Here is a 20,859-nt window from a genome sequence, read left to right as displayed (position 1 = left end):
TGTCAGTAATGTGTTCTTTGTTACTACTGAGTAGTATTCCAGAGTATGGGTATACTTCAGTGTGTCAATCCATTCCCCTGTTGATGGGCATTTGGATTGTTTCCAAATTTGGGTTATTACGAATAAAGCTGCTATGAACATTGAATTATATGAGTCCTCGTGTGAATGCAAGTTTTCATTTCCCTCACGTAAATACTTAAGAGTGATTTTATTTTTTTTCCTTATCCATGTTCTTTTTTTTTTTTTTTTTTTTTTGAGACGGAGTTTCACTCCTGTTGCCCAGGCTGGAGTACAATGGCACAATCTTGGCTCACTGCAACCTCCGCCTCGCCTCCCAGGTTCAATTGATTCTCCTGCCTCAGCCTCCCAAGTAGCTGGGATTACAGGTGTCCACCACCACGCCTGGCTAATTTTTGTATTTTTAGTAGAGATGGGGTTTCACCACATTGGCCAGGCTGGTCTTGAACTCCTGACCTCAGGTGATCCACCCGCCTCGGTCTCCCAAAGTGCTGGGATTAGAGGCGTGAGCCACCGTCCTTATCCATTTTCTAATATTGCTACAATGACCAAACATTACTTAACAACAATGATGGCAAATACCAGAGTAGGGAAAATCTGTCCTCTATCCCATTGTCTTAGAAAACTAATGTAAATTGCGAAGAAAGCCTTCATCAGTATATATGGCCCATGGTTATCTTGACTTCAGACGGCATATTCAACTCCTTCCCATGAAATTTAGATGTGATTAGAGAGAGTTCTTGAGTTCTTGGTAAGAATTCAGAGGATGCTGAATTGGCAAGGGTGCTGGGCCATCTTTCACACTGACGGTGGGAATGCCAATTGGTATAACCCCCTCAACAGGCAATCTGGCAACAGCTACCAAAATTGAAAATACACATACTCTTCAATCTATCAATTTAACTTTGATAAATTTACTTAAACATAATCTCATTTAAGTCCCCAGAGATGTTTAGGTAAGTGTTATTTGCAAAGAAAATGTCTTGGGAGCTACCTAAATTCCAATAGGACCCAAAGCAAATGAATCATGGTATGTTCATTCACTGAACTATTGTAGAGTAGTTATAAAGAATGAGGTTGATCTTTATATATAATATGAAACATATCCAGAGCTCATAAATGAGAAAACTAGGTGCAGATGGTCTGTACAGTCTTTTACCACTTGTGTTTTTAAGCATTATGCTTGTATTTGTTCACATGTGCCTTTTATTTGAGACAAGGTCTCACTTTGTCGGCCGGGCTGGAGTGCAGTGGCTCACTGCAGCCTCGACCTCCTGGGCTCAAGCGATCCTTCTGCCTCAGCCCCTGCAGTAGCTGGGACTACAGGCACATGCCACCACACCCAGCTAATTTTTTTTTTTTTTTTTTGTATTTTTTTATAGAGATGGGGTTTCACCATGTTGCCTAGGCTGGTCTCAAACTCTTTGGTCTTCCAAAGTGCTGAAATTACAGGCATGAGCTACCGCACCTGGCCCACACATGCTTTTATATATGTGAAATATTTGTGGACAAATTCATAGGAAATGCTGACAGTAATTGCTTCTGGAAAGGCAAACTTCTCAACTTGGGGAACGGGGCAGAAGGGTGTTGCTTTTCATTCTATACTCTTTGATCTCTCTGGATTTTCTTTTGTCATGTGCATATATTTGTGTAACATAAAACAATTTTATGAGTTAAATCCACCTGATCTCAGCCCAAAGAATGGGGGTGCTCCCATTTCACTTGATTCCCTGGCATCTGATGCCAGAGCGCACTTTCCCAGCAAGAACTCACAGGACTCTGAGTTGGCCATGCCCTGCACTGCCTCTGTCTCTGCCACGGTTGACCCTCCATAACTGGAAACCATGATCATTACCATTTGCATAAGTACAACCACATTGACCCATGGCTGTGGCTGTCAGTTTTGAATGAGGGGAATTATTTGTATTCAACGGGCATTTCTGATTGTGGCCTTGACCAGCCCTGAGATATCTTTCAACAACGAATCACCAGCAGCCAACCCCATGACCTTTGGAAAATGAATTTGCCTGCCATTGGGCCGGCCTCAGTTCTTTTGCCCAAGTAAAATGTCAATTAGATCACTGGCTGAATATCGCTTTTGTCTACTTAAGCATGTTCAGCTCACAAAGCCATAAATGTTTGCTTGCTTCTTTCTTGAAAAAAGACTCCACACCCAAGTTCAAAGTATGCTCCTGGCTCCATATGGTCACTGAAAAAAAATTGATTCATTGGAAAAATGCAACTATTGAGTCATTATTCAATCATCAGGCAAGTCAGACTTTGGGTCATTGTCAACAGGCTGCATGTGTTTTGGGTCCGTGGATGCTTTCAGGCTCATAGAATAGGTGTTGTATGCATGGCATTCGTCTCCGTCTGCACCCCCAGCCCACATTGTTATCTACACCAGACAATGAAGAAGATAAAACCCAATGTTCAGTCTGGGCGCAGCGGCTCATGCCTGTAATCCCAACACTTTGGGAGACTGAGGCAGACAGATCACCTGAGGTCAGGGGTTCGAGACCAGCCTAGCCAACATGGTGAAATCCCGTCTCTACTAAAAATACAAAAATTAGCCAGGCATGGTGGTGGGTGCCTGTAGTCCCAGCTACTCGGGAAGCTGAAGCAGGAGAATCACTTGATCCTGGGAGGCAGAGCTTGCAGTGAGCCAAGATTGTGCCATTGCACTCCAGCCTGGGCGACAAGAGCAAAACTCCATCTCACAAAAAAAAAAACAACAAACAAACAAACAAAAAAACCAATGTTCTATTGAGTGATCTCTAGGATTTACATAGATTAGAGAAAAATGAATAGGGAGAGGGTCGTGGCTGAGTGATGGTGATTCAACCCAAAGCAATAAGAGTAAGGAGGTCACCATCATGTAGTAACACTTCAATTAACTGTAATTAGTTTCTGGAGTTTTCTGTACTTGACTTTTAATACATTTCACAGGAATTGAAACACAAGGAGTTTTCCAAAATTTTTCTTTAGCAGGATGTCCCTGGCCCCATTCCCTTTAATCTGCCTTTTGCTGCCCATACCTTATTTTTTATTTCCATAGGTTTTTGGGGAACAGGTGGCATTTGGTTACATGAACAAGTTCTTTAGCGGTGATTTCTGAAATTTTGGTGCGCTCATCACCTGAGCAGTGTACCCTGTACCCAGTGTGTAGTCTTTTATCCCTTGCCACCTGCCGCCCTTTCCCCCGAGTCCCCAAAGTCCAACGTATCATTCTTATGCTTTTGTGTCATGCCTTAAATATCTCGAGAGATTCCTTTGACCCAGTGTTAGCCTTAAACATGGTTTCCAGCTACATGAAAAATAAATAGACCACAAAGCCAAGATTCTCAGCTTTAGCTCTGCTTCAGAAATGGTCTTGTTTTGTTCTCTAAGGACAGTGTTGGTGTCTTGTAGTTACATCTCCTACGGCCCCATTAAATGATGCTCTCACGGCTGCTAAGCAGCTGCTAATGTTAAAAGGGGTACATCATTGCCCTGCACACCAATACACCAAGGTTCCCAAGCTAAGCCCTTCCTTATTGTGTGCCTCAGAAGTTGAACAGTTTAACTCTTCCTGGGCTCTCTTTACATGTTCTGGCCATCTTAAAGTGAGGGCTGGCACTGAACTTCCATTTGGGTCCATTGTGAAATTGCTTCACAGCATTTACACCTTTCCAGCCATTAGAATGGTCCACATGCAGCTTGGGGAACCTGCTGTCAACCCGTACAGTTGGGTTGTGGATGTGCAAATTTTCTCTGGTGAATTGTTCGTTGTCATGGAAGATGAGTCTTCTTGGTAGACAGTCAAGCCAAGTCCCTTTTCTGGAATCAGCTCCTTAATGCAATTAGATTTCCTGAAATGATTTCCTTTCTTTGCCCATTTTACTACCAAGGCAGGTATGAGATGTGCTTTTATAATAAGTGGTTTGGCTAGCATGCAATTCCTCTACTGCAGCCAGCCTTGCTGCCTATTGAAATGGGGCAAATTGGGCGGGCTGGTGGGGGCGGGGGGCAGGGGTTGGGGACGGACACGCATGGAATTCAGGTTGCTCTACCAAGAGTCATAGACTTACCAAGCTAGAGAGGGCTTTAAGAAATACGTCATATTCACAGGAAGGGGAACATCACACACTGGGGCCTGTCGTGGGATGGGGGGATGGGGGAGGGAAAGCATTAGGAGATACACCTAATGTAAATGACGAGTTAATGGGTGCAGCACACCAACATGGCACATGTATACATATGTAACAAACCTGCACGTTGTGCACATGTACCCTAGAACTTAAAGTATAATAATAAAAAATAAGAAATATGTCATACGGTCTAAATTTCTCCTTTTAAAAATGTGGCCAATTGGCCAGACCAGACCCTGGGTTCCCTTGGTCTGTGTCTGGGTCTTAATTTGTAAAGGTGACTGTTGGATGATACAGAGAGGTCAATGCCATTTACAGAAAATTTACTGTTACTCACAGGTCCCTAGAAATGAGAGGCACAGCATGTCATGCAGGGCCGCAGGGGAAGCACCAGAGTCGGGCAGAAACAGGAGCAAGGGGAAAGCTGGGGCCAAAGCCCTTATTGGGGTTTCATAGGAAAGGCAAGGCAGGGCAGGGGAAACAGCTTAAGAATGGCTAGTTTGAATAATTCATATGGGCCTTGGGGCATAAGGGCTATTCCTAGTCATCCTGTACCCAGCCTTGGGTTGATTTAGGGCAGAGTAAAGGCTGGCTTGGTGTGTGAGCTAGATACAGCTGGTGGTTAGGATATGGACTTGGGATTGGTTGGTCTGTATCTGAAAGATAGGCTCATTGGCAATTTGTTTACTATCTCTAGGAATGAGCTAGCTCTGGGAGGGGCAGTCTCTCTCCCCTGCCAAGAACCCTTCCCTCCCCCACCAAGATGTCAAACTATTTTAAAGTAGAGAAAATTTAAAAACATAATTAATATACCCCTAAATCCCTGGGACTCCTCAATCCCTCCCCATTAGGCCACCATTCCTCACCACATTTGAAGCCCCAGATGGAATGAAAGAGTCAAGCATCCCTGAGTTGCAGTAGCATTTCAGACTTAAAGATACAATTTAATCACCTTTTATTGTTTTAGTTTTTTCACTGGTATATCAGGTGTCACTTGTCTCTAAACAGTGTGACCCAAGGGGTTAGCAATCAAGTCCTTACTTCTCTGCCAAATGCTATCTTAGGATTTTAAGTAATTCTTCTCTCTAATCCTTACTTTCTTCTTCTGTTGAAAATTATGGGCTTGCATCTGATGATCTCTGAGATCACTTTCAACGGTGGCATTTTACAACTCTATAGCTGCAACCACCCAGAGGGCTGGAATCTCCTTCAGCAGAGTTGAAGTTCATAGTAACTCTGATTTTGTTAATAACCTAAAGGCAAACGGTGATGTTCTGAATTTCAGTGTGTGGATAGGTAGGGAAAGAGGAAGGTAGGATCATAGATAAGTAAGTAGGTGAATGTTTCCCAAGAAATCTCAGTGTTACAGTTGGTAATCAGGGCTCAGAAAATTAGTCCAAGGAAGATAACTCCTTAGGACTGGAAGACGTGGACAGCCCATCCCCTTCCTCTCCCTCCCCATCCTACTCCCACTCCCAAATAAAACAAAAAGGTCATCTCCTACATGCACACCCCTGAATTCTGTTCTGAAATATGTGGGATACATAAAATAGCAAATGCCGTCAGATCTCAAGTTGGGCAAATACAGAGACAGCATTTTTAGTCTCATTGAAAAGTAGTTGTCAGAAATATGCCATTCACTCAGAGTCTCTAAGTGCTCTGTCAAGCTTTAACTTGATTAAAATTGAAAACCACATTGCTTGAAAACCAAACGTGAAATCGAAATCTCTTTACTCAGTGCTCTTACATTCTGAAGCCTGGGCTTATGGATTATCCTCAGTTAATTTATGCCATCTTTGTGCCATACATTAATTTTGAATATATTTGTTGAAAATTTCCTGTAGCTTGCATTTATGGTTGTCAAAGGGGCTTTTATCTTGAAAAAAATGGTGCTGGTTTTAATTACAATTCTAAATAGCTTCATAACCATCGTGAACCCTGGATTTACATCATCTTTATGACAGCCACGCAATTCCCACTTTATCGATTTTGTCATTTGCTTCATTACAGTTAATGCAAACCTTTTGTACAGAGACAATTCTGGGGCCTCTCTCTTCTTGGAGGGGTTAATATAGAACATCATGACCAAGATAGACCCCGTCCCTCCACCCCCTGCTTCTGCCGCAGTGCTGACCCAAGGAAAAGTCAGGATGGAAAATATTTCCAAAGTGGCTATCCATCACAGGCAAAGGAAACGTTAGTGCTGATTATCCAACCTTTCTGATCAGGTGGGTTCAGACTTCTCTGCTTTGAAGTCCTAGAGATAGCATCACTCATGTTGCAGGACTATGTGTCCACCCCACCGCAAGCCTCACTCTCTGTTTAGAGAAGGGTTGCAGCAGCAGCCACCCACTTTTGCATTTCACATGTAGATCTTGCACCCCCTGCACCCAGCCCGCCCAGGGGCCTTAGGAACCAAAGCATAGTATGGTTGATGGGGATGTGCTGAGTCCCCGGGATGTAAATGCCAAGAATGCCTGTGAGTAACCTAGGATGGAAAATCGAAACCTTTGGTGATTAACTTGAAATGGAACATTTTAAAGAAAAGAACAGAATGAGGGAGCTTAAGGAAGTATAGGAAGACACAGCTCATCCATTTGTATCCATCAGGGACAGGCTTCCAAGGGCCAGGAGGGCCAGGAGCAGCTGAGGGAGCTCAGAAAGCTGCTGGGAGCCCAACGCGTAAGCCCAACGCTGCTGCAGGGGAGTTTGTGGATAGAGTCCAGGGCACTATGTAAGTGGCATTTGGATGGCTGAGAAAATAGCACATTTGATCTGGAAACAAGGAATTTTTCCCCCTAAGTCTCACTTGAAAGGACCTTACTTTCCCCAAACCAAGGCTTATAAGACAACTAGCCTTTAACGGGGATATAAAAGTAGAATGAACTTGCCAGAAAGGGCAGTACAAGTCCAAAGATCATTTCTGAAGGAGACAAAGGAGTGGGGTGGCCCATTTCTAATGTAATTTACTGGAGAATGTTGGGGAAAGTCCTAGAAGGCCCATTCTCTGCCCTTGCATGTCCCAGAACTTCTCAGTGAGTCGCTCCATTTGGGACTATCCCCGGGGATGGCTTTCTCCTCTTCCTCCTTCAGAGACTGTGTTCCGCACTTCTAGACTCTCATTTTTCCAGTAGATGTGGGAGTCTAGCCTTCGCTTTCTAAAAGCTATGAAATTATTGAATGCTGGAAACACTGTTGAATGCTCCTTAAAAGCTGTTTCTGTGACAAATGGGATGGGAAAATATGCTGTTTCTAAGACACAGAAGAGCTGAGCAGGAAGAGGAGACATCTCCAGAAGATGGGGTAGAAGGATCCCCGGTGGCCCGACACCTTGTGTCTAACCCCGTATGCATCCAGAAGCTGGAGAGCCAGTCTTGTCCCGCCTAAGAACTCCTACGTGAATCTCTACCTGATAGGCACACCGTTGAGGGCTTTTAAGCTCGGTGGTTTTCCGTGGAGCGCTTTGGTAGAAGTTAATACCACATTCATTCATACTTGTGTTTTTTTCCACCCTGCTGTTCAGCCCTCCGACCCCCTGGAGAGTCCTCGTCTTAACTGTTCAAAACCGGAGTAAATTCACACTTACATTCTCAATGTACTGCATTAAAAATAAAATCTGACTCCTCAGACAGTACCTATAACAACAAAATGAGAAAAACTTCATGTGAGGACTCAGGGACTGAATTAAAACTCAGCAGCCCTGAGTGCCAGCTCTTGAGGGGCCCATAGAAATCATCTATTTCATGCCTCTGTTTTACCGATAGGGAAATTTTAGCCCAGAGAAGTTAGGCCATAGTCCGACAAGGTCAAATATCCTTGTCATCTGATTCCTGAGCAAACTGTTTTTATTTTTCCACTAAATCACATCATCTTAAAACAAAACAAAACAAAACAAAACAAAACAAAAACAAAAACTCTACTGCTGGCAAATGAGAAAAAGAAAATCACTCTTTCTTATCCCCTACCCAGAACAGTGGCTGTCATCCTCAGTTCTTAAGTGTGAACAATGCACTTATTTCCCCTTTTGGAATCAGGGAAGGAATTAGAAATTTCTTCAGAAATTTCTTCAGCCAATTAAGTAGAAGTAGCTGCAATGGAGAGCTCTGGACCTGGAAGCTTGTGGGTAGAGCTGGCCTTTGCCCAGGTGGTCCCCAAGTAGGAACCATCTCTGTGGGCCCCCCAGATGTTTTCGGATTTACTTAGCTCGGTGAGACTGACTTGGCTGCTCCCGAGAGTCCTGGGAGAATTTAGAGACAGCATGAAGGAAAACTACTCACCATTTTCACCAGGCCCCCCCACCATCCCTTCCCCAGGAGCCGTCGCACGTCCGTAGCCCACCCAGACCAGAGGCCTCTGCAGGAAGGGGTTTCTGGTCAAAGGCACTTCCCTCACTGCCCTGAGTGAGGGTAACAGCCTGGCCTCCTTCCTTGCCTTCTCTGAGAACCAGTCTGAACAAAGGCGTGCGCGCGCGCGCACACACACACACACACACACACACACACACACACACACACGAGGAACTCAGCTTCTGAAATGCAAATGCAAATGCAATCTACTGAGATATCTGCGCTGGCTACTGATGCAAAAGGAGGAGCAGTGGTGTGGAAAATACAAAACAGTGGCTAATCCCACACTATTTTATGCTGGACTTGGGAGCCTAGCGGTGATTTTTCTCCTTCCATCAAGTTTACCGTCCTCATTCTCTTTGCCTAAACTGACATTTTCCCCCCTGAATCTTGAGTGATTGGGAGTACCCCCAAAGCAAGCTGGGAGAGAGAGTTTTAAAATTTGTTATAAATAATTCCCAAAAATAGGTGAATTAAATTCCCTCATGTTTCTCTCCTTCATTCGCATTGCTCTTCAATGTCAAGGTAGTTCTTCTCACACCCAGATAGAATCAGGTTTGCTATCTCATCGTGTAAGATCTGGTCCTAGGCTTCCCTACCTTTCACTGTGATGTCGTCAGAGGGAAACCACCCTCAAAATGGGGTGGTCTCATAAAGTTCCTGCCTGTCATGGAAAGAGCAAGCTTCACTTTTTCTCCTTTCCTACGGTAACATTCACATAACATAGAACTAACCGTTTAAAAGTACAATTCAGTGGCATTTAGTACACTCGCAATGTAGTGCACCCATCACTTTTATCTATTTCTTTTTGTTTTTTTTCTTTTGTAAGATGGAGTCTCACTCTGTCACCCAGGCTGGAGTGCAGTGGCACGATCTTGGCTAACTGCAACCTCTGCCTCCGAGGTTCAAGCGATTCTCCTGCCTCATCCTCCTGAGTAGCTAGGACTACAGGTGCCCGCTACCACACTTGGGTAATTTTTTTATATTTTTAGTAGAGATGGGGTTTCACCATATTGGCCAGGCTGGTCTTGAATTCCTGACCTCATGATCCGCCCGCCTTGGCCTCCCAAAAATCACTCAAGACTCAGGGGGAAAAAATGTCAGTTTAGGCAAAGAGAGTGGGGACGGTAAACTTTTGTCTATTTCTAAAACATTTTCATCACCCCCAAAGGAAACTCTGTACCCATTCGGCAGTCACTCCCCATTCCCTCCCTGCCCCCAGCCTCTGGCAATTGCTGATCTGCTTTCTGTTTCTATGAATTTACCTGTTCTGGATATTTTCTATTCATGGAATCACACAATAGTTGACCTTTTATGTCTGGCTTCTTTCACTTAGCGTAATGTTTTCAAGAGTCATCCATGTTGCCGCATACATCAGTACTTCATTCCTGTTTTGTAGCTGAATGATATTCCTTTATGTGTACATACCACAATTCGTGTATCCACTCATCCGCTGACAGACATTTGGGTTGTTTCCACCTTTTGGCTATTGTGAATGGTGCCACTATGAACATTTGTGTGCAAGTTTTTGTTTGAACACCTGTTTTTAATTCTTTTGGCTATATCCCTAGGGATGGAATTGCTGGGTCATATGGTAAGTCTATGTTTAACTTTTTGAGGAACCACCAAACTGTTTTCCACAGCAGCTGTACCATTTTACATTCCCTCCAGCTATGTAGGAGTGTTCCAGTTTCTCCACATCCTCACCGAGCACTTATTGTTTCTCATTATTTTAATTACAGCCTTTCTAGTGTGTGTGAAGTGGAATCTCATGTGATCCTAGGGCTTTTTACTGAGCACCTCCTGTGTGCCAGGCACTGTGGGCCAGGTACAGTAGTGTGTAAAACAGAGACTGTACCCGCTCTCCTGTTGCTGATAAGTTCAGGCATTCATTATTCCTTGAAAGTAATAGTAAAGAAAAGGAAGCTGGCCTCTTCTAGAGTATTTCCATGCTGTGTATTAGCTAGATCGAAAGCAGCTATCAGCACAGCACGTGCTGCTGAGTTTTGATGCTCCTTTTTTCAGCAGTTAATTACAAGGACCTTGATATCCCCCGAACACTGAGCTTGCAAGACATGTTTTAATTGGCTTCTGCTGCCACAGACATACCTTTGAGTGATGCCTCGCTAATGGCCACTCACCCCGAACACCCTACGACACAATCTGGTTACTGCTGTCCTGTTCCTTTGGTTCCCGTGGCTTGTATACCTATGGAAGACAAGCCTTGTCACCTCTGGGGAAGGCCATGCCCAGGAATGATGGCTTCGAATCTGCGTAATTTACCACTTTTGCCTGGAGCAAAGAGAACCATTTCTCCGGAGAGGCCATGCCTCTGCCCAAGAGAGCACTATGCTGTCCCAGCCTGGTCAGAAGGCCACCCATTGGATCCTACTAGGTGATCTGGAATTGAAGCATCCTCTCAAGGTGCAGACACCCATCCATGATCCTCAGTGACTGGAGCTAAAATCAGTTACCATTCCCAGTGATCCTAAAAGTCAAATGGACTGGGACTCCCAAGGAATCTGAGAGACAAGGAGGCAATGGTGGGGACACTGTTGAGTGTGCTGCTCCCCCCACCCCCCACCCTCAACACCATCTTCTGGGTAAGAATACTTTGCAGGCCAATGAAAGCAACTAGTTCCCAGTGACAAATACTGAGACTAAAGCTTGGCTTCCTCCCCATCCTCTTCCCAGGCTACAATAACTTGAGTTACACCCACACAGTCATATTAGGCTCCCTGTCTTTGTATTTTGAAAGTCAGAGAAAGGTGGAATAGCCTGATGGGTAAGCCCCGAGACTCCTGGATTGGGAAGGCAGGTTTGAACTTGACTCTCCCATGTACTAGCCGAGCTCCTTTTTTGATGCTACATAACAACCTCTCTGAACCTCGGTTTTCTCCTGTATTCAGAATTCGTCCTACTCTCTGAAGTAAGTGCTTGAATGAAGGGATGACCGAAGGGCCCTGAGAGCTTGGAAAGAGCAGTTCATTTTGCCTGAGTTTGTACAGGAAGGTCTCCTAGAAGATGTGGCCTTTGAGGAAGGCCTTGATGAATGAGGAGGGATTTCACAAACAGGGTAGGGGGCAAGGACAAGCATAAGTGAACGTGGAAACATGAAAGTACTTGGTGTATTCACATATTGCACAGAGGGAGGTGTAGCAATGTCATGCTAAGGAGTCTGGGCTGTTTCCAGAGGAGCAGCATCTCTTACAGTCATCGTGAGCATGGACAGAACTGGGTTCAATGCCAAGTTTAGAGACGTAGCTCTCAATGCCTCACTTTCTTCTTCTGTAGGAATTATTGTGAGATCAGACTGGCATAAGACACTTAAAAGGTGCTCAGTTCAATACTGGATGCTTAGTAAGTGTTAAATAAATGTTGTGTGCAATCATTATCATGGTTGTGATGGTTTTGTGATTGCTACAATTTATCATGTGAGCCACAGGGAGCCACTGAAGGTTTGTGTACAGCTTACGGAATGTTAAGATTAAGAACTTATATGCCATAGATGGTGCGGCATTTGACTATTTTAGGTGGTACATTACTTGATTGGTTATTAGTTGGAAGTAGCCACCAAGAAATGAGATTAAATTTTGCAATTTCTCTCCTTAGTTGTGTCAACTATGGGAATTGTGAATATGTGCACACATTGGTATCCTTCTTTCAGTAAGGGAGCAATTTGTATTTTCTTTGGTGTAGGTTTTTGGTGGCTTCTTGTATTTCAATCTTGTAATAGCAGGAGAAATACAAAAAGCATGTGAGTCTGAACTGCTGCCCTTAGTCCAGAAAGAATATATTGAATATCTCAAATAATAGATTCTTTGGTCTGGGATGGAAGAAGAAGGGACAAAGAGATAGGTTCAAATCACAGAAGGGTCTAAGTTAGATGAACAAGAATGTTTTTAGAATTTCATAAGAAACCAATTTCAGGTCATATAACTTCAGAGCTGAAGGAGAGCTTGGAGATTATGTAAAAAAGAATTCCTAAATTTAATATTACTTGTTTTAAAGCAAATAAAATTAAGTAATGCCACAAATACATTTTCAGAGTGCACACACTTCATTAATACACAAAAATTCCTTTTGGACTAAATGTTATCTGCCTTTTACAACTGAGACTGAGGGGCATGGATGTGAATCACTTAGTTTGCATAGTTACAAATTATACAAGCCCTAGTCTTCCACTTTTATAAGAAAAAAACAGGTAGCCAATAATGAGAGCCTTCAAAGGGTTAGTTAGTATGGGCTAGAAATGTGAAAAAATTCAAGGAAGTCTTAATTTTCTTGATGAGTGATCTATGTGATGTTTTTAAAGGGAAACAAAGATCTCTCGAGGCTGAAGGAGATGATGTGGTTTCAGTGCACTGTCAGGGAGCACTCCCCAGGATGTGCCGATTTGTGTCCTCGACCCTGAGTGGGGATGTTTGCCATCTTGTATTTGAATGAAAACTAACATCTCACCTGGGCACTGACCTCCTATCCAGGAAGAAATGTCTCAGCTCTGGCTCTTGCTTAGTGGTCATATTCACGCAGCTGGAATCATTTAATCTTTAGAGCCCAGTGGGAAAATTTTCTGAAACCCCCATGGGGATAAAAAGAAAAAAACTACCTCACTACAGTTTGTGCTGGGTGATTTAGAAAAACAGAGTAAAAAAACAGAGATGTGGGAGATAACTTTTCATGCCCGTTAACAAAAGCACATTTCATCTTCCCAGTTTCTCGCTTCTTCCTCCCTCCTGCGCCTCTGCCGGGGAGGAACCACAGATGGTTATCGCTCAAGAGTGTAACTAGGGAAACCATAAACCTGCCCCCATCACTATGGAGACAGCCATTTATTTGTCCAGCCTCTGAGTATTCATGACATCAGCAAGGCCGGCAAGTAAAACACTGATACTTCTTACAAAGAAATTCTAATTCCCAACGAGGAAGGCAGAGAATGCAAGGCCCAATGTTTCAGTGACTTTCAAGGCTCCCCCTGGCCTTGTCATGGGCTTGTTTGCAAAGAGACAGCCCATTTTACAGAAGCTGCAGTGAGGAGCCTTTTAGAGCCAACAGAACTGAAAGCTGGGTTTGCGAGTCAACAGACATTTTAAGGTTTAGGGATATGGTTGAGGGAATGAAATGCCAAGAATAAATCTATTTTCAACTGAGTCAGCCCCATGGGGTATAACAGGGTAAGCAGCCATCGCAGTTGGCCTGGAATTGATTTGTTTCCCAGGATCGAACACAGGAGTTTCAATGCTAAAACAGGGAAGTCCCATGTAAACCTTGGGGAGTTGGGCCACCGAGGTATAAAACCCTTTGGTCCAAACATGGGGATGACCACAGGATGCAGGTAGATTTGAGGCAAGCCTCAAAGTGTGACAGCACATTTTGCAAACAGTAACCAAACTTCCTTGGTCCCCTCGTCTAAAAGTTGCTGGAAAACAAATGATACTGTCTCGCTGTGAATATGAGGTGTTTTCGTTTGATTTGCTTTGGATTTGTTTGTTTTGTTATTGTTGTTCTTTTATTTATCTAGAAATGCCAGAAATTTGTTTCAAATTTAAACTCGCCAAAATTAAGTGGGATCTCTGCTTGTCCCCCGTAACTATCTTTTTTTTTTTTTTTTTGAGACGGAGTCTCACTCTGTCGCCCAGGCTCGAGTGCAGTTGTGCGATCTCTGCTCACAGCAAGCTCCGCCTCCCGGGTTCACGCCATTCTCCTGCCTCAGCCTCCCGAGTAGCTGGGACTACAGGCGCCCGCCACCACGCCCGGCTAATTTTTTGTATTTTCAGTAGAGATCGGGTTTCACCGTGTGAGCCAGGATGGTCTCGATCTTCTGACCTCATGATCCCCCTGCCTCGGCCTCCCAAAGTGCTGGGATCACAGGCGTGAACCGCTGCACCTGGCCCTATCTTTAATGATAAAGTGGTTTGCAGGGATCTTCCCCCTGCATTTTTCAACACAAATTCATTTGCCAAAAGCCCAATATACAGGAAAGTATGTAAACACAGAAGTGGAGTTATTGATATTTCCCAGCGATGTGTAAAACACCTCTTTATTCTCCAAGGTCTGGTGTGCCTCTTTGTGGCTAATCCATCATCGCTGTTTGCATTATTGCAGAGCTTGCTTTCAGGAGCATCTACTGGAGTGGATGCAGTTATTCTCCTGCTGAGAAGTTGCATATGTTGAACGGCATTATGATCTATATGAAATAGAAGGTGTTATGCTAGCTATGTGGCAAAGTATGCATAATGACATTTGTTGAAATAGACTTGTTCAATTTCCAACTAAGTTCTAAGCAGGCTATTCCGATCAGAGAGCTTAATTAACCTAGGACTTTGTCCTTTACAAAGTAGATTTGGTTGGTTGAAGTCTTTGGAATGCTAACAATCAATTATCTAAATATCTCTGTAAATGTAACTGGCTATACCACATTAAACGTCAGAGGTCAACAATTGCTTTACCAGTTATATATATTTGTATTTACATGGACACAATATTACATGTAACTACATATGTAGGAAAAATAGGCATAAGAGTTGTCAGTTTTATAGACAGGGGTCTTTGTGGATACTTAAATAATTCATGAATCAGTAAACATATCTATATGTATTCTAGGGTCTGGTGGGCAAGTGTACAAAATGAGCAAAATGATAGATTCACCTCCTTTTGCTCATTTGAGATGTTGTTTTAATGTAGAATTACAGTAGCCCTCAAATGATGAGAAGCAGTGACAATTCATTAGCAGATTGTGGCTTAGATCAAGTGTTTGATTTCTCTGAGGAAGTGTAACCAGTACTCAGTTATATGAAGTATATGCGTTTCTTTTGAAGATAATTTTTTTCCTTTTGTCAGTTAAAATAACCTTGAGCTTTATTTTTTTCAAAGACCCCAGCTAGCAGCAGACAAATGCTTCTATAATTTGTTCTTCAATAATGATTTTTTAGAATGTTAAACTGTCATAAAAAAAAACAACCTTCAAAAGCGCTTCTAGATTTCCTATTCTCTGCTTAAAGGACAATTGGATAATAGGGAGGAAAGAAATAGCATGTCAAGGCTGCTTCACATTTTGTCTTCTGCCTTGGTTCATGAAAGCAGGGATTCCCCTGGTTTTCTTTTTACAGTTACAATATTCTATTTCTCCTCCGTCTAGAAAAAGAATACTTCAAATATGTACATTGATGAACATATATATATTTCATCAAAAACTAATTCAAATTATTATAGTTTAGGTGTTTAAATTCCCTTAAACCTTTCAGTATAATTCAGCTGTGAAAACCAGAGGTGGCAACTTTCTTCCAAATATTTTCAAAGCGTGTCTTATACTTTATTCTTCATCCTGAGTACCTAAGACAGTGTGAACATCTAATAGTACTATGTTACTCTTATGGGTTAATTCCTTGTTGGATTTCATGACTGTTGACTTGCTTTGGGTTTCTAGTAAGGCTTCCCTTGTGAATTTCATGCAGAAGTCCCCACACTTATTTGGCACATTTGGTAGGGATAGATTTATTCAGAAATTAGCAAATTGTTAAACTCTAAAGGGTGCTGAGCCTTAGCTACTTCTCCCATTTAGCATGAGGAGGAACATGAACAGAAGCTCAGAGCAGAACGCTGCTGCTGGATTTGGGGCCTCTGGAGGGACAGTGCCCTCAGGCTAAGTTTAACCATCCACCTGATGAGATGCTGGGCCCCCAGAACATCTGGATGAGGAATGAACAACTGGATGGGTATCCCCTGATGTGCAGACCTTGCATGTAGATACCTAGTTTGGAATTCGACTTTTCTTCCAGATACCCAAAGCCTATTTCTGAAGATATCTATTTTCAAGGTATTCTTCATGGGGACTTAAATGCATCATTGAAATCCTGAATTTAAAAAAAATTCTTTTTCTTTTCCTTCTTTCTTTATCTCTTTCTTCTTTTTTTGGTTACTGTTGGGAGATAGTTAGAAGCTTTTTAAATTGTAGTCAGTTTTTTAACCCTTTGTAAAGGATTTAGATAGGCTGCTTTAATTTCTGAAGCACAAAAACATTTCTAATCCTGCTTCAATTACGAAATTTCACATTGTAATTGAAAGAGATGAACTGTGATAATAGGAGTATATTATGCTTACTAATGGGAATTCTTTCAAAAGTGCTATCTCCCAGTCTGCCGTTTGCGGAGATTATTTTAAGTCCTCACTCACGCTGGCTTTCCTTTCTGCCTTGTTTATATTCTCAGAGTATAAAAATACAGTAGTCAGAAAGCTGCTCTCGGGGAGTCTGCATTTAGTGCTTGTCGGAGGATTCCTCTCTAAATGGACTCTGGTATCATTTTAGCACTCATATTGTTTGCCGAAATTCGAGCTTCCTGGGGAAATTAGAGCAGTTAATTTAATATCATGAAACATTTTGGGGCTTCTTGGCTTATTCAGAGACAGGGGAGTGTAAATCAAACTGAGTATCCTGTATAAAGTAGAAGACAATAAAAGTGGCCTCCAAAAAAATAGCCAGCCTTCCCAAAATTTCTTGCCTTCCCGTTCCCCATCTTCATCCTGGACCCATAGAAATCTTGTTTTATTTCAAGTCTCCTTCCCAAGGGCTCCCTGATAGAGGTCTGTGTCTCAGAAAGACAAGAAGCAGGGAAGGTGCTTAGCCCTGTACAGTCACAGCAGGAGGGCTCAGTCTTTATTGTCGTCACTAGAAGGGCCACAGGGCCACAGTCATGACGATATGGCTTAGAGCTTTATTCCATACGGCTTGGGCTCAGCCCTGACACCTTTTCCTAGAAGGACTCATTCTGCAACCATTGGTGACCATCTGTGAAGTGGCTGGCACTGCGCTAGGCACTGGGGTAAGTTATGTTGCATGATAAGAAGCAAAGATTCAGCAGCTGTGGGAAATACACTTCTTATGGCCCAGGAAAAATTGAAAGAGAGCTCTCAGGCATCCTCCAACTGCTGGGTTCTCTCTGCTCACATTTCCAAAGCCCTTTTTGCAGATGCCTCCCGAGTGATAGCGTGCATGTTGCAGGGTAGGCAATGGGCTTTGTTGATTTGTTTTTGAGAGGGTCTTTGAAGGAGGCCTTTCAAAGGCACGATATGGACCTTTGACCTGAGAGCTCAGAATACACATCAGTGGCCCCCCGGTCACATCAAACCCCAGAAGCAAACTGCTAAATCGAATGTTTTGGCCTCAGCTTCGGAAGGTTCTCTGTGTGTTTAGTAACGCTCCACTCCACCATCCTCAAAGAAATGCTGGGCTTGTGTTTATTTTGCCTCCCTTCTCCTGTGCATCAGGACTAACTTTTATGTCGCTGAGGTGTCATTTTGCAAAGAAAAAGAAACCTGTCTGAACCAAGTGTGTATTTACTTTGTTTTAGAGACCTAGTGTATTTGCAGGAAGTATCAGGAATGCTCATGGACAATTAATTGGGCTTTTTACGAATACGCTGATGCTCGGTGCCATGGAGATGTAAGAGCTGGGAAGTGGAGTAACCGCTGTGGTTTTTGTTTACCTTATGGGGCCCCCATAGGTGTTAAACCCTTGAAGACCCTGGTAATGAATGTGGCATCTTGTCTTGAGAATGGCTCCTTGACCATCATGGTTGGAATATCCTGTCTGTTTTCATTTATCTGTGGTTAGAACAAAAGGAGACAATCTCAGTTATAATAAATGTCTTCTAGAAAAGCACACTTATGCATAAATATTTTAAATTTTGATGTTTCGTGTTTTAAAATAGTCTATAAAATACACCCACAGAGATGCTTATAGTAAAGCTCAGTTTTCCCCATTGCAAATAAACTTGATGTCAACTTGTGCCACCCACTGAAAATATTTAAACGTCACGTAATTAGTAACATATTAGATGTCTCTGCTTTTAGCCTGAAAATGATCAGAGCCCTCTCAAAGACTCTTGTCCCCACCACTTCAGTTTGCTGAGTAGCAGGACTGTGATGGGATATTTACTAGTGTGTGTTTAGTCTTTTAAAAAAATCTTTTGGCTATCTCCCCTCACCACATACTTTTTTTATTCTCTTTCTCCCACTTTGGTTTATTCTCTTCTTTCTATGGCATTTTCTTCTTCCCTGCAGATTCCATTCTTTCCACATAAAATTCTGTACATGTAGAGTCTCCTGTTTGATTTCTGGTGTTCTCAAAAAGAAAAGGAATAGAAAATGCTTCACAAATCCAGTAAATAAATAATATACTAATAGCAAGGACCTTTATGAAATGTCTGCACGAAAACCAATGCACCACAAACTGCCATCTCTACACACCCCAGACTTCCCAATGTGATGATTTAGATCCTTTTCTACTTAGGCGGATGGTGCCATTTTTGCCGAATTCAGCATGTTCATTGAACAGTTTCTCGAAGCCAAAAGCCAACTCCACTGCATTTCTGCTTGGTAAGGTTTGGTGGCCTTGGCGTGGGGTAGAGGTTGTTGATTCACCGGCCTCTAAGCTGATGATAAATCTAGAAGCTGGGCAGCAGGACTAGACTGCCTTCATAGAACCTCTGCAGGGAGTCGGCGGCCCCAACACTGCAAGAAATCTATGAAAAAGAGGCTTAGCAAACCCGTGTGAATAAAGGCTCCAGAAGAATTAGGGGTCGAGAAGATGTGGTGAGACTCCGTGTGAGTGGGCATCAGTGAGAACTTTGAACACTAGATACAGAACTCGCCAACTGAAAATGTGCTTCTGCTTCTCGAGATGCCTGTGGACTGTTTATTTTCTTAGTCTAAATATCTAAATCTTCTATCATGAGCATCTATTGAGATGATGTATTAATAATTGTCCATAATATCGTGACAGAGTCTGTCTGTTGTAATGCACGGTATCACTCTATTGCGTTTTATTTGTGTGCATTTATGCAATTCTACATCTGGATACTTATCCAAAGATAATAGTATTTTAATTTTAATCTTGCCTTCAGTAGAAAATAAAGCCCTGGAAGAGGGTTCCCAAAGGTAGCTTTGACATGTCTTTTGTGGAGAGTTGTCCTGGGATAGTTTAGCTCAATTTACACATGAAAATTCCAACACCAGGAAATCCCTCCACCTGAGAGGTGGAGAAGATTAAAAGAGTCTAGGAGTTTTTTAGTACAGCCATAGCTCTTTTCACCTGTCCTGCAGCCCCAAAGACCATAGTGTGCTCTGCAGACCGAGTACAACAATCTGGTGTCAATAACCAATTCCTGTATAACACCTTTTTTGTTGTTTTTTATGGTTTTTTAAGGAATAAAGTGGGTTATGTATGTAATATATGCTATTATAGTTGGGGTGTGATCATGGTTGATATCCTGACTTACACATTATATATATTTTGATTTAGGAAAAAAAAAACCCTGGTATCTGTGTATGATCCCTCAACTAAAATAGCTCAGTCTCCAACTAGAATGTATATTAGTCAAGGCATCTTTTTAAGAGACATTATTTTCATGCTCACAGGATCACAGGATGGAAAGGGAAATTACAAAGGAGTCTGGAAATAGGTGCATTTAATTCTTCCCAATTTAAATCAAAGTGGTGCATCTTTAAGGCAATAACGATATTCCTTCTTCCCCTCTTCATGAACGCTTCCATCAATGAATTTCTTTAATGTTGATGATGGCTGGTGCAGTTTGAGGGAATCTGTATTTAGTCAGAAAATGCTTCAATAGAATGACCTACCAGATGGGCCCCGTAACAATGCACAGAGGCATCAAACCACCACAGACATTTGGTGCTTAGAATAATAAAAAGACTATAAAATTAGATTAGTTGAGTCTAATTTGGAATTGGTATATTCCCCATGCACCCTTGCCGCTCTTGGGTAGATAAAGCCTTGAGATTTAGCACTGTGTCAGAGCAGAAGACTGCAACTTCCAGTAAAAGGGAGACGGGGGAACGGGAGAGAGGAAAAAAGCATTCTGGGAGGTCGCGGAGGGCAGAGCAGTGACCTCCAATGATTTACAGGCCTTTAGCTTAATGAAATTGTTTCAGTGACATGACGGTAAGAGCTCGTAATGGATTGGATGCCCTAATGTAATGAAATTACTCCCTTCTGCCTAAAAAAAAAAAAAAAAAAAAAATGCGCAATTAATATTTACTGAGACCTGACAGCCTTTTGGTGCGCTCGTCTGTGTAGTTCTCTCAGACAGTCAGAGAGGAGAGACGGAGCAGCGTGGCAGACAGGCTGGCTCTGCACGAGCTCCTGGCGGGGACCAGCAGCGCCTGCAAGGGGGTGGAGGGACAGGCGCTCGGGTGGCCTGGGCCGCCGGCCCCTCACGCTGCCCCCGCTCAGCCTTCATGCTCTCCCCTGCTTTTCCACAGGCAACTGGACAACAACCACATCAGCTGCATTGAAGATGGAGCCTTCCGAGCGCTGCGCGATTTGGAGATCCTGTGAGTTGATTTTG

General features: G+C 42.9%; 1 protein-coding gene across 3 annotated transcripts in view; it reads left to right on the top strand.

Annotated features, from left to right (window-relative positions):
• Positions 1 to 20,859, top strand: part of SLIT3 (slit guidance ligand 3) — a 639,400-nt gene that overhangs the window by 435,711 nt on the left and 182,830 nt on the right. For all 3 annotated transcript variants that reach the window (NM_003062.4, NM_001271946.2, XM_017009779.1), the window contains exon 6: positions 20,774 to 20,845. In NM_003062.4, coding sequence (NP_003053.2) covers positions 20,774 to 20,845 — 72 coding nt within the window. The remainder of the gene's footprint in view (positions 1 to 20,773; positions 20,846 to 20,859) is intronic.

Source organism: Homo sapiens, chromosome 5 (genome assembly GCF_000001405.40).
Source record: "Homo sapiens chromosome 5, GRCh38.p14 Primary Assembly".
Taxonomy (NCBI): Eukaryota; Metazoa; Chordata; class Mammalia; order Primates; family Hominidae; genus Homo; species Homo sapiens.
Note: the sequence above shows the minus strand (reverse complement) of the source record. Positions and strands in the feature narration are given on the sequence as shown.